Below are 12,157 nucleotides of genomic sequence, written 5' to 3'. Positions count from 1 at the left end.
TTGAAGTTCAATAAATTATACTTACTCAAATACACAATTTGAGAAACGTTATTTTTTTTCTGAGAAATTACCATCACAAGTAAAATAACAAAAAATGTCATCAACTTCAAAAGTTGCCTCTTGTCCCTTTGAAATTCATCTGTTTCTTAACCTCTGTCCCAAGAAACCACTATCTGCTTTTTGCTACCATGTATTGATTTGCATTTTCTAGAATTTATATCAACAGAATCACACATTATGTAGTTTCTAGTCTAATTTATTTAACTTAGCATAATACTTTTGAGATTCAAGTTATTGTGTGTGTAAGCAATCTGTTTTCTTTTATGTTGAATAATATTCCATTGTAAGGATATACCACAGGTTGTTTATTTACATTCTGGTCATAGACACTGGGTTTATTTCCAGTCTTTGACTATTATAAGTAGAGTTGCTATGAACGATCACTAGACAACTTTTTATATTTCTCCTGGGGACATACTTAATTGTGTTGCTCTGATTAATAAAGTAGGTTTACCATTTCACATGTGTACCTTTCTCTCAGCAATGTTTTGAAATGGCTATTGTAGAGGTCTTGAACATCTCCATTCAATTTGTTTGTATTTTTTATTGCTATTTGTATATTTTGATATTACTGTAAAAGGGTTTTTAGAAATTAATTTCATTGAAATAATGACTGGAAATAATAGCTCTCTTGAGGTGGAAGCCATGAGCTGAGAAAAGCAAAATAATCACACATAAGGGCCTGCATCACAGATGCTTGAAAGCAGCCTCAAGAGCACGAACTGCCAACTCAAATTTTCTTAGTAAAAAGTAACCTCTCATCATTTAAAAATGAAAAATAGTTCCTTGGAGTAGTGTTTTGAACATCTGTACTATGTATTAAATTTGAATAAGTATCCATTTTATTTACTCATTTAAAAAATATCGGCCGGGCGCGGTGGCTCATGCCTGTAATCCCAGCACTTTGGGAGGCCAAGGCAGGCAGATCATGAGGTCAGGAGATTGAGACCATCCTGGATAACACGGTGAAACCCCGGTCTCTACTAAAAATACAAAAAATTAGCTGGGCATGGTGGCGGGCGCCTGTAGTCCCAGCTACTCGGGAGGCTGAGGCAGGAGAATGGCATGAATCCAGGAGGCAGAGCTTGTAGTGAGCCGAGATTGCACCATTGCACTCCAGCCTGGGCCACAGAGAGAGACTCCCTCTCAAAAAAAAAAAAAAAAAAAAAAATCTGCTCACCAGATGTCAGCATGAAGGTGGAACAGAAATTTCCAGTGCTCATTCCTGCAACAGGAACATCAGTTTGAACAACTATTCGTGCACAAAAACACAGTCATAATCGCTAAGAAAACCAGATGATAGATGACAAGACCTGGCTGTACCACAGAAATAAGAGAAGAGTCATTGAAGAGGATAGGAAGGGCAGTTTTACCTTACTCATGTTCCCTCCTCCAAATTCAGACACAATGTGGAGAGATATACTGTCTGATTGGGGAAAGGAGAGGAAAGTAAGCACCAGACTTTGGCTTGGACTCCAATACTAGGCCTGCCCCAGTAAAGCCCAGGACCAGGCAGGTCCCTAAGGCCCCAAACCCCAAACTCCTACCCTCAGCCTGAGCCATCATACCTGCCCTGGTGCCGGGCTGGATTCTGCAATCCCAGGCTCCAGGCCTGCCTGGCAAACTCAGTCTCCAGGACCACCCACCTCAGGCCAACCCCAGCATCTTCAGGCTCCCAACTGGCAGGGCACCTGCTTGGCCCCTGTAGCTTTTGGCTACAGGCCCACCCCAGGGTCTGACCAGCCCCACAGATTCTGGCTCCAGGTCTGCCGTGTATACTCTATCTCTAGGTGCACGCTAGATAGAATCAGGCCCACCCTGCCAGCCTAAAATTCAACACCATACCTAACACTAGGCTTGCCTCTGCCTCCCTAATTATAAGACTGACACCCGGCCAGGCGTGGTGGCTCACACCTGCAATCCCAGCACTTTGGGAGGCCAAGGTGGGCAGATCACAAGTTCAGGAGATCGAGACCATCTTAGCTAACACAGTGAAACCCTGTCTCTACTAAAAATACAAAAAGTTAGCCGGGCGTGGTGGCGGGCGCCTGCAGTCCCAGCTACTCGGGAGGCTGAGGCAGGAGAATGGCTTGAACCCACTAGGAAGAGGTTGCAGTGAGTCAAGATCGCGCCACTGCACTCCAGCCTGGGCAACAGAGCGAGACTCCGTCTCAAAAAAAAAAATGAAATAAAAAAGAAAAAAGACTGACACCCACAGACACAGACTTGCCAGCCCCTGCAAATATAGGTTATAGGATGCCCAGTACCAGGTCAGCCCCTGGGGCCCCTGGCTCTATGCCCACCTCAGGCTCCAGACCAGGATAATCCACACAACCCCAGGCTTTAGGCCTATGCCAGCACCAGGTCAGCACCCTGGCCTCAAGCACCATGCTGGCAGCCAAGACATAAGCTTCAGGCCTGTCCCTGTGGATCCAGCTTCCACAGCAGCATACCAGCCCCCATGAACCCAAGACCCAGATCAGTGCACACAATCCCAGGGTCCAGATGGGAAGATATAGGCTCTATGCCTGTCCCAGCATAAGACCAGTAAACCCAGAATGGACTTAACATCTGGGTCCACTGGGACATGCCTGGAGGCTGAGTCCACTGGGGCTGGGCTGGTGCTAGAGTGGGCTTGAAACCTGAGTCTATAGGACAGGGCTGTGTCCTGCTATAGTCCGTATGTCCTGGATAGGGTCTAGCCCAATAAACCCCAAAGCCAATCTGGCCTCTTTGGACCAAGGCTCCAGTACCCCCCTAGAAGGCACAGGCTCTATGCCAATTCCCATGGGCCCATGACCCAGGTATACCCTGCAGACTCAGGCTTCAGGCTGATACTAGCACTAAGCCAGCCCCAGTGAACTCAGCTTTCGGGCATGTCCCAATGAACCCAGATGTCAGGTCCATCCTGATGCCTGGCCAACTGCTGCACAATCAGGGTCAAGATCCACCCCAGAGTCCCATCAGTCCTTGTGAACCCAGCCTTCAGGCCCACCCCTACCAATACAGCATCTACTGATACAGATATAGACACAGAGCCTAGAGATACAGACATAAACATAGATAAAGATACAGATTACAGACACAGATGCAGATGCAGTTCCCACCAATACATGCTCCAGGCCCACCCTCACTTTCCTTTTAAGCACACACATGGACTGATAGTAAGAGGCTGGATAAAGATATTTTATGTAAATGGAAACCACAAGAGAGAAGAGGTAGCTGTACTTATATCAGATAAAATAGATTTCAAGTCAAAAACTGTAAAAAGAGACAAACGCCAATTCATTAAAAGGATATAACAATTATAAAAGTACATGAATCCAAAATTAGAGAACCTAAATATATAAAGCAAATATTAATACATAAAAGGAAGACATAGATTATAATAAAATAATAATGGGACTTACATACTCCACCATTGGCAATAGGTAAATTATCCCGACAGAATATCAACAAGAAAACATTGGATTTAAACTATAGTTTAGACCAAATAAATCTAACAGGCATATACCAAACATTCCATGCAACTTCAGTAGAATACTCACTTATTCTTTGCAAATACACACAGAACACTTTCCAGGATATATCATATGTTAGTCCACAAAACAAGTTTTAACATATTAAAAGGAATTAAATCACATCAAGAAAATGGTATGAAACTAGAAATCAATAACAGGAGAAAGATTGGAAAATTCACTCATATATGAAAATTAAACACTATGCTCCTGAATAATTAATGAGTGAAATAAATTAAAAGAAAAATTTAAAAATATTTTTGGGAAAACAAAATTAAATATATAGCAAAACTTATGGGATGCTTATAGCTATACATGCTTACATCAAAACAGAAGAAAAATCAAACAAACAGCTTCATGCATGCATCAAGGAACTAGAAAAAGAGCAAGCTAAGCCCAGAGTTAGTAGTCTCAGCTTTTTGTTTATAGCAACACAAGAACAGGCTAATATAGGTGCCAAGAACACAAAGTAGGGAAAATACAGTGTCTTCCATAAATGATATTGGGAAAACTGAATATTCACATGCAGAAGAATGAAATTAGACTCTTAACTCACAGCATGTGCAAAAACCTACTCAAAGTGAATTAAAGTAAATGTAAAGCTTGAATTGTAAAATTAATACGAGAAAACAGGGAAAAATCTTGAAGACATTGTTGTTCAGCAAGTGGTATTACCCAAACTGAAAGCCATTTCATGGCAAACGAAATAGTCAACAGATAGAAAAGACATCTTAATAAATGAGAGAAAATATTACCAAATAATACATCAATAAGGTGCTAATATTCAAAATATGTAAGGAACTCAACGAGCTAAACAGCAAGAAAACAAATAATCAGATTTTAAAATGAGCAAGAGATTGAACAGATGTTTTTTAAAAAGGAAACATATAAATGGTTACAAGTTATATTTAAAAAATGCTCAGCATCACTAATTATCAGGAAAATGTAAGTTAAAATCACAATGAGATATCACTTTACTTCTGTTAAAATAATTATTATCAAAAATATGAAAAATAACAAGCAAGGGTGTGGAGAAAAGGGAATCTCGAGCAACATTAGTGGCAATGTAAATTAGTACAGGCATTATAGAGAACAACATGCATGTTCCTCAAAAATTAATAATAAGGCTGGGTGTGGTGGCAGCCACCATGGCCAACATGGTGAAACCTCGACTCTACTAAAAATAAAAAACAAAAAAATTAGCTGGGCGTGGTGAGACCAGCCTGGCCAACGTGGTGAAACCTCGACTCTACTAAAAATACAAAAAATTAGCTGGGCATGGTGGCAGGTGCCTGTAATCCCAGATACCTGGGAGGCTGAGGCAGGAGAACTGCTTGAAGCCGGAAGGCAGAGGTTGCAGTGAGCAAAGATCGCGCCACGGCACTACAGACTGGGCAACAGAGCGAGACTGTGTTAAAAAAATAATAATAACAATAGAACTGCCATGTGATCCAGCAATCCTACTACTGTGTGTATACCTAAAATAAATGAAATCAGTATGTGGAAAAGATATCGATGTTCCCATGTTTCTTGTAGCACTTTTCACAATGGCCAAGATATAAAGCTATCTAAGTCCATTAAGGATGAATGAATAAGGAAAATGTAACATATGTCCACAATGGAATTCTAGTCAGCCTTTAAAACGAAGGAAGTCCTGTTATTTGCAATAACATGGATAAACCTGGGGAAGTTTATGTTAATTGAAATAAAACAGACGCAAAAAAAATATTGCATGATCTCGCTTCTATATTAAATCTGAAAAAGTTGAACTCATAGAAGCAGAAAATAGTAGCCCACCCAGGGCTGGTAGGCACTGTGGGGAGAGAAGGTTTACAAAGCTGTGGATCAAAGGATAGAAAATTTCCATTAAATAAAAGGAAAACATTCAAAAAATCTATTGCACAACATGGTGACTACAGTTCATAACAATATTCTTGAAATTGCTAAGATATTTTAAGTGTTTTATCATAAAAATAATAAGCTTGTGAGATAATGCATATATTAATTAGCTCAATTTAGCCATCCTACAATGTGTATAAACATTTCAAAACATCATGTCATATATGATAGATACAATTTTCATGCCAATTAAAAATATATAAATTCATTAAAAACATGTTTGTGCAGGCAACTTATGGAATTAGATTTTAGTGTTTTTCATATGAATCTAAATGAATTATTTAAATAATGCATTTGTCTTCTCATAATTTTAAACATAAAAATTTTGTCTGTTATCAGGACAAAGCTGTGATTCCTCTTTGAGATAATTTTAATTTTAGAATGTCATTCTCAGCCAGTCTCAGTAGCTCATGCCTGTAATCCAAGCAGTTTAGGAGGCTGAGGTGGGCAGATCACCTGAGGTCGGGGGTTCGAGACTAGCCTGACCAACATGAAGAAACCCCGTCTCTACTAAAAATACAAAAATTTAGTCAGGAGTGTTGGCGCATGCCTGTAATTCCAGCTACTCCGGAGGCTGAGGCAGGAGAATCGCTAGAACCCGGGAGGCAGAAGTTGCAGTAAGCTGCGCGAGAGCGCACCATTGCACTCCAGCCTGGGCAACAAAAGCGAAACTCTGTCTCAAAAAAAAAAAAAAAAAAAAAAAAGTCATTCTGTCTCCAGCAAGAAGGTTAGTCAATAAATTATAATTACAATTTTAAAAATTATTTGCATGTTTCTTTATCTTAATATGATAAAAACTAGGGTTTAGTGACTTCCAAAATCTTTTTAGTTATTAGTGTCATACTAAAGAAAAGAAAATTGTTTCTCCTAGTTTAGTTTTTTTTTTCACAGTTTCCATTAACAAATTGAAATGTGTACTTTTTGAAGAAAAAAAAATCCTCTTTTGAAGTACAAATTTTGAAGTGTTTGTTTAACCAAAAATTCCATTTATTTCTCCTCAAACCACCTAGGTTTTTTCTCACAGCAGATCAAGATTAAATATATTTGGGGCAGTTTTTTCTTAGAAGATATATAGAAAATATCGGACATACCTATATTTTGTATAGGATAAATACAAAATGTAACAAACACTAGGTAAACTCAGGGTAAACCCAATTCACATAGAATATTGACTAGCACACAAAAATGACAGAAGAAAGCAGACACTGTAGATATTTGCATTTACTTTTAAATTGTAATTCTAGTTATTTCAGATTTCTCCCACAATGTGGCTACTTTGTCAAAAATCAATTTAATGGTGAAAAAGCGTGATTCATTGCATATAGTAATAGAGTTTCCTTTCCTTGCTTATCATCCTTCCTTCTCTTATTTCTTCTCTTCCCTCCTTTCTTTTCCTCTCTTTCAAAATATTAATATTTAGGGGCTTGCACATGCTAGGATGCAATGTTGATTAGAGAATTAAAATGCTTTTCAGTTCCTTCAAATCTTAAAACACAATCTCAGTCTAGGAATAAAATGACCAACGACTTATAATCATGAGAAGTGCAATCTTTAAGTATAGGCTTTTGCCCATCTCGCTGCTTGAGCCTGTGGAAGATTGACAATTGTTGAGAGATAATTCTCCATAGGTCAGTTGTTTTCTGTACATCCTGAAAGTTTCAAGATGTACAGTCAAGATGTACAGAAAGACTGCCTTTTATAAGTACTATCAAAAGACGTGTTCAACAAACCAACTTGGAAAATACTCGTTTTTATTTTCAGTATAGTACAAGCAATGTTTTCCTCTGAAAAAAGAAGAAATTTGTTTGCAAATATTTGCTTGGAGAGGCTTGTTTGCAGCCCTCTATTGAAAAAAAAGTGATTTTCTAGTTCAAAATTTCTCACCACACGTGTTACAAACTCCCTATGTTCTCAGCATCCATATAGGTCCATGGGACTGAGGGGACTGGTACAAACATAAAATCCGTGGTGCCTTCTAGCCATAGGTAATCAAGTTACCTTTTTCTGAGCCCAGGGTCTTGTGTCTTCTGACAGCATTCATGAATCTCAGAGCTTTCATTAGTTTCTTATCGGCTTGTATCTAACAATAGACTTGGTTCACTTTCTCTGCCTTTTGCTATTCTCATGTACCCCCTTCTTGCAAATCCTGATTTCTGACCACCAAGGGCCAGAGATATAGAGATATGTGGGTAGAAGAAGAAAGTAAAATAAATTTCTTAGTTAATGGCTATTGAAATTATATTGTCTAGTGTTGTCAGGTGTTTGAAATTGATCCCTATACTGACACTGTGCATTTATGAGGTCTTCAGAGTTTTTATCCCCCAAACAATGAAATTTCTGATTTGCAATTTCCTTGACATGATAAAGCGTAGGTCTGGCTAGCCAATAGCTACTTCTTCAGGCCATAGGAACTTGGAATCAGCTTGCCCATCCAGCTGATCCTGTTGAGTTAAACATCAATTCTCTGTTTCATTCATGGACATAATATGCTACAAACACTACTTGCCCAGCAAAAGCTTGAAAACACATACAGGCTTAGATGTGACAACTTATATTCCACCTCAGAGAAACTATATAGACAGGTTTGTGCCGTCTTGGTTTATCAAGAGTGGCAGTGGCACAAAACCCAGGACACTGTGCTTCTAAACCTTCATGAGACCTTTATTCTTTGTTTCCTCTGGAAAATCCTGATCTCCTGACTTGAAATTAATAGGATAATACATCTTTTCCTCCCATATTGAGTGAAGGTAATGTAAAGTACACAAAACTCATTTGATTTTATTTACAGAAAAATACTTGTCTCAAATTCTGACTCCTGAAAATTTATATTCTGAAATATAAGTTAGAGAGTTTGCAAAAAAAATGAGACATTGTAACTCACCTGTACTGCCATGTTTTACAACAAGTTCTGCATGCTGGATTTTGATTCTGACTTCTATTTTCTTGGGCCATAAGTTGAAACTAAGTTGAAAATAGTTCTAATTATTAAATTCATAACATTTGTTTTAGCTAATAATACATTAACACAATGTTCTGTATTATAATCACAAGGGCTATTATTTTAAGAAATTAAGTAATTTTTCCCTCTCTACTTTGCTCCCAGCCTTTTATAAATACAAAGTAAAAGTGAGATAAATGATCAAAAAGAGGGCAATAAGTGAAAAATAGAAAACAACAACACATTTGAATATTTGAGAGTCTGTATTCTGATGATATTGTTACCAAAACACCAGGGATTTGGCCTAGGTCCTGCTGCTCACTGCACAGTAAGCCAATCACTGCGATGACAAGTATTGCCAAGGAAGAGGGCTTTAATTAGGTGCTACAGCCAAGGAGATCGAGCTCAGTCTTACATCCATCTCCCTGATGGGCCAAAACTAGGGGTTTAAATAGCAGGGAAGAAATGTAACAATGTGTAAGAAAGTAGAAACTAGGGAGGGGGCAAGGAAGCAATAAGGATGAATGAGGGGTCCGGGATCTCACGGATGTGGTGATCTGGTGAGTTTCAGTTCTTGGATAATTTATTTTTCTCCTTCCTTTCTTCCTTCTTTCCTTCCTTCCTTCCTTCCTTCCTTGCTGCCCAAAGGTCCTTTCCTGAGGAAGGAACTCAGATAAAACAAATACAAGTTTCAAGATTTAAGACTAGAAAGGTCAATTTCTATGTTTATCTGAAAGAACAGTCGATGGGGCTATTGGGTTAGCTTCGATATCACTGCTTCTGGCTACAGAGTAATTTAAAAAAATATATCCTGTAGTGTTTGTAAAGCTTTAGCATTGGCCACAGGAGCTAATTCAGAAAGAAAACTAGATGAAGCTTTGATCAAATTTGAATGCTATTGGAAATCAATAATCAACAGAACAATACAAAAATACAGAGAACTTTATTAGCTCTTATTAAGATTATAGTTACGTTTCTTCCAAGCCTCAGGGTATATGCTTAGTTTGATTTTAGATTAATTTTCTTTTAAAGCATTACACATGTATCTAAGTGAGTTTTAATTTAAAATTAATCAGTGAGGCAAACCATTATTAGGATTTTTCTAGGGAGCTGACACCAGGTTGAATGTTAAAGGAACTAGATGTTATTAAGTTCATTTCTCTCTGATAATATATCATAGCAAAACTTGAGGATAAATACACTGGAATCTGAGACAGATTACTTGAATGTGAACACTAGCGGTCCATAGTCCACATGTTATCTTCTTAAACTTTCCCATAAGGCTATATTATTTAGGTTCAGTCAGGTTAATAGAATGAAAGGCTTTAACATAGGGATTAGAGTTTACAGAAAAGAAAAGAAGATGTAGGGAAACAAAGGTCAGCCAGGTAATCAACAAAGGCCAAGAAATGCAGCCAGAAAATCAAGGTGGTTTAAGACCTTAGCCAAAACTACTGGAGCACGTGATTGTCAAAGGAACCTGCTGAGATCTTCAGAAATAGCCTGCCTGTTTCTGTTAACAGCATCAAAGCAGGTGAGAGATAAGCAATTTCAAGCTTTGTGTATCTTATATTTGTCAACACATCCGACCATAACCCCCTTCAGGAATTGCATAATTTATTCCTATTCCTCTTGCCAAATTATAACATTAGTTTGCCTTATAATATTCTAATTTTTAAAAAACAATTTTCTAACTTTCATTTTCAGTTCAAGAGTACATGTGCAGGTTTGTAACATAGGTAAACTTGTGTCATGAGGGCTTATTTTACAGAGTATTTCATCACCCAGGTATTAAGCCTAGTACTCATTAGTCATTTTTCCTGATCCTTTCTCCATTTCCACCCTCCACCCTCCGATAGGCCCCATGGTATGTTGTTCCCCTCTGTGTGTTCATGTGTTCTCATCATTTAGCTCCACTTATAAGTGACAACATGTGTTATTTGGTTTTCCGTTCCTGTGTTAGTTTGCTAAGGATAATGGCCTCCAGCTGCATCCATGTCCCTGCAAAGGACATAATTTCATTCTTTTTATGGCTGAATGGTATTCCATAGTGTATTTTTTTTTTAATTTATTCACCCATTTTTTTATTATTATACTTTAAGTTTTAGTGTACATGTGCACATTGTGCAGGTTAGTTACATACGTATATGTGTGCCATGCTGGTGTGCTGCACCCACTAACTCGTCATCTAGCATTAAGTATATCTCCCAGTGCTATCCCTCCCACCTCCCCCCACCCCACAACAGTCCCTAGAGTGTGATGTTCCCCTTCCTGTGTCCATGTGATCTCATTGTTCAATTCCCACCTATGAGTGAAAATATGCGATGTTTGGTTTTTTGTTCTTGCGATAGTTTACTGAGAATGATGGTTTCCAATTTCATCCATGCACCTACAAAGGACATAAACTCATCATTTTTTATGGCTGCATAGTATTCCATGGTGTATATGTGCCACATTTTCTTAATCCAGTCTATCATTGTTGGACATTTGGGTTGGTTCCAAGTCTTTGCTATTGTGAATAATGCCGCAATAAACATACATGTGCATGTGTCTTTATAGCAGCATGATTTATAGTCCTTTGGGTATATACCCAGTAATGGGATGGCTGGGTCAAATGGTATTTCTAGTTCTAGATCCCTGAGGAATCGCCACACTGACTTCCACAATGGTTGAACTAGTTTACAGTCCCACCAACAGTGTAAAAGTGTTCCTATTTCTCCACATCCTCTCCAGCACCTGTTGTTTCCTGACTTTTTAATGATTGCCATTCTAACTGGTGTGAGATGCTATCTCATTGTGGTTTTGATTTGCATTTCTCTGATGGCCAGTGATGATGAGCATTTTTTCATGTGTCTTTTGGCTGCATAAATGTCTTCTTTTGAGAAGTGTCTGTTCATATCCTTTGCCCACTTGTTGATGGGGTTGTTTGCTTTTTTCTTATAAATTTGTTTGAGTTCATTGTAGATTCTGGATATTAGCCCTTTATCAGATGAGTGTATTGCAAAAATTTTCTCCTATTCTGTAGGTTGCCTGTTCACTCTGATGGTAGTTTCTTTTGCTGTACAGAAGCTCTTTGGTTTAATTAGATCCCATTTGTCAATTTTGTCTTTTGTTGCCATTGCTTTTGGTGTTTTAGACATGAAGTCCTTGCCCATGCCTATGTCCTGAATGGTAATGCCTAGGTTTTCTTCTAGGGTTTTTATGGTTTTAGGTCTAACGTTTAAGTCTTTGATCCATCTTGAATTGATTTTTGTATAAGGTGTAAGGAAGGCATCCAGTTTCAGCTTTCTACATATGGCTAGCCAGTTTTCCCAGCACCATTTATTAAATAGGGAATCCTTTCCCCATTGCTTGTTTTTCTCAGGTTTGTCAAAGATCAGATAGTTGTAGATATGCGGCGTTATTTCTGAGGGCTCTGTTCTGTTCCATTGATCTATATCTCTGTTTTGGTACCAGTACCATGCTGTTTTGGTTACTGTAGCCTTGTAGTATAGTTTGACGTCAGGTAGTGTGATGCCTCCAGCTTTGTTCTGTTGGCTTAGGATTGACTTGGCGATGCGGGCTCTTTTTTGGTTCCATATGAACTTTAAAGTAGTTTTTTCCAATTCTGTGAAGAAAGGCATTGGTAGCTTGATGGGGATGACATTGAATCTGTAAATTACCTTGGGCAGTATGGCCATTTTCATGATATTGATTCTTCCTACCCATGAGCATGGAATGTTCTTCCATTTGTTTGTATCCT

At 38.4% G+C, this 12,157-nt stretch overlaps 1 long non-coding RNA gene across 1 annotated transcript; it reads right to left on the bottom strand.

The window, feature by feature from the left end:
- Positions 1-7,359: 7,359 nt before the first annotated feature.
- LOC107986270 (uncharacterized) lies at positions 7,360-9,000 on the bottom strand. Its single transcript, XR_001741653.1, has 3 exons — positions 8,961-9,000; positions 8,359-8,438; positions 7,360-7,630 (listed from the first exon to the last, which is right to left on the bottom strand). It is a non-coding gene; the product is annotated as an uncharacterized LOC107986270 (long non-coding RNA).
- Between the last annotated feature and the right edge of the window lie 3,157 nt (positions 9,001-12,157).

The sequence above is a fragment of the Homo sapiens genome, chromosome 4 (assembly GCF_000001405.40).
Source record: "Homo sapiens chromosome 4, GRCh38.p14 Primary Assembly".
In the NCBI taxonomy this organism is placed as follows: Eukaryota; Metazoa; Chordata; class Mammalia; order Primates; family Hominidae; genus Homo; species Homo sapiens.
Note: the sequence above shows the minus strand (reverse complement) of the source record. Positions and strands in the feature narration are given on the sequence as shown.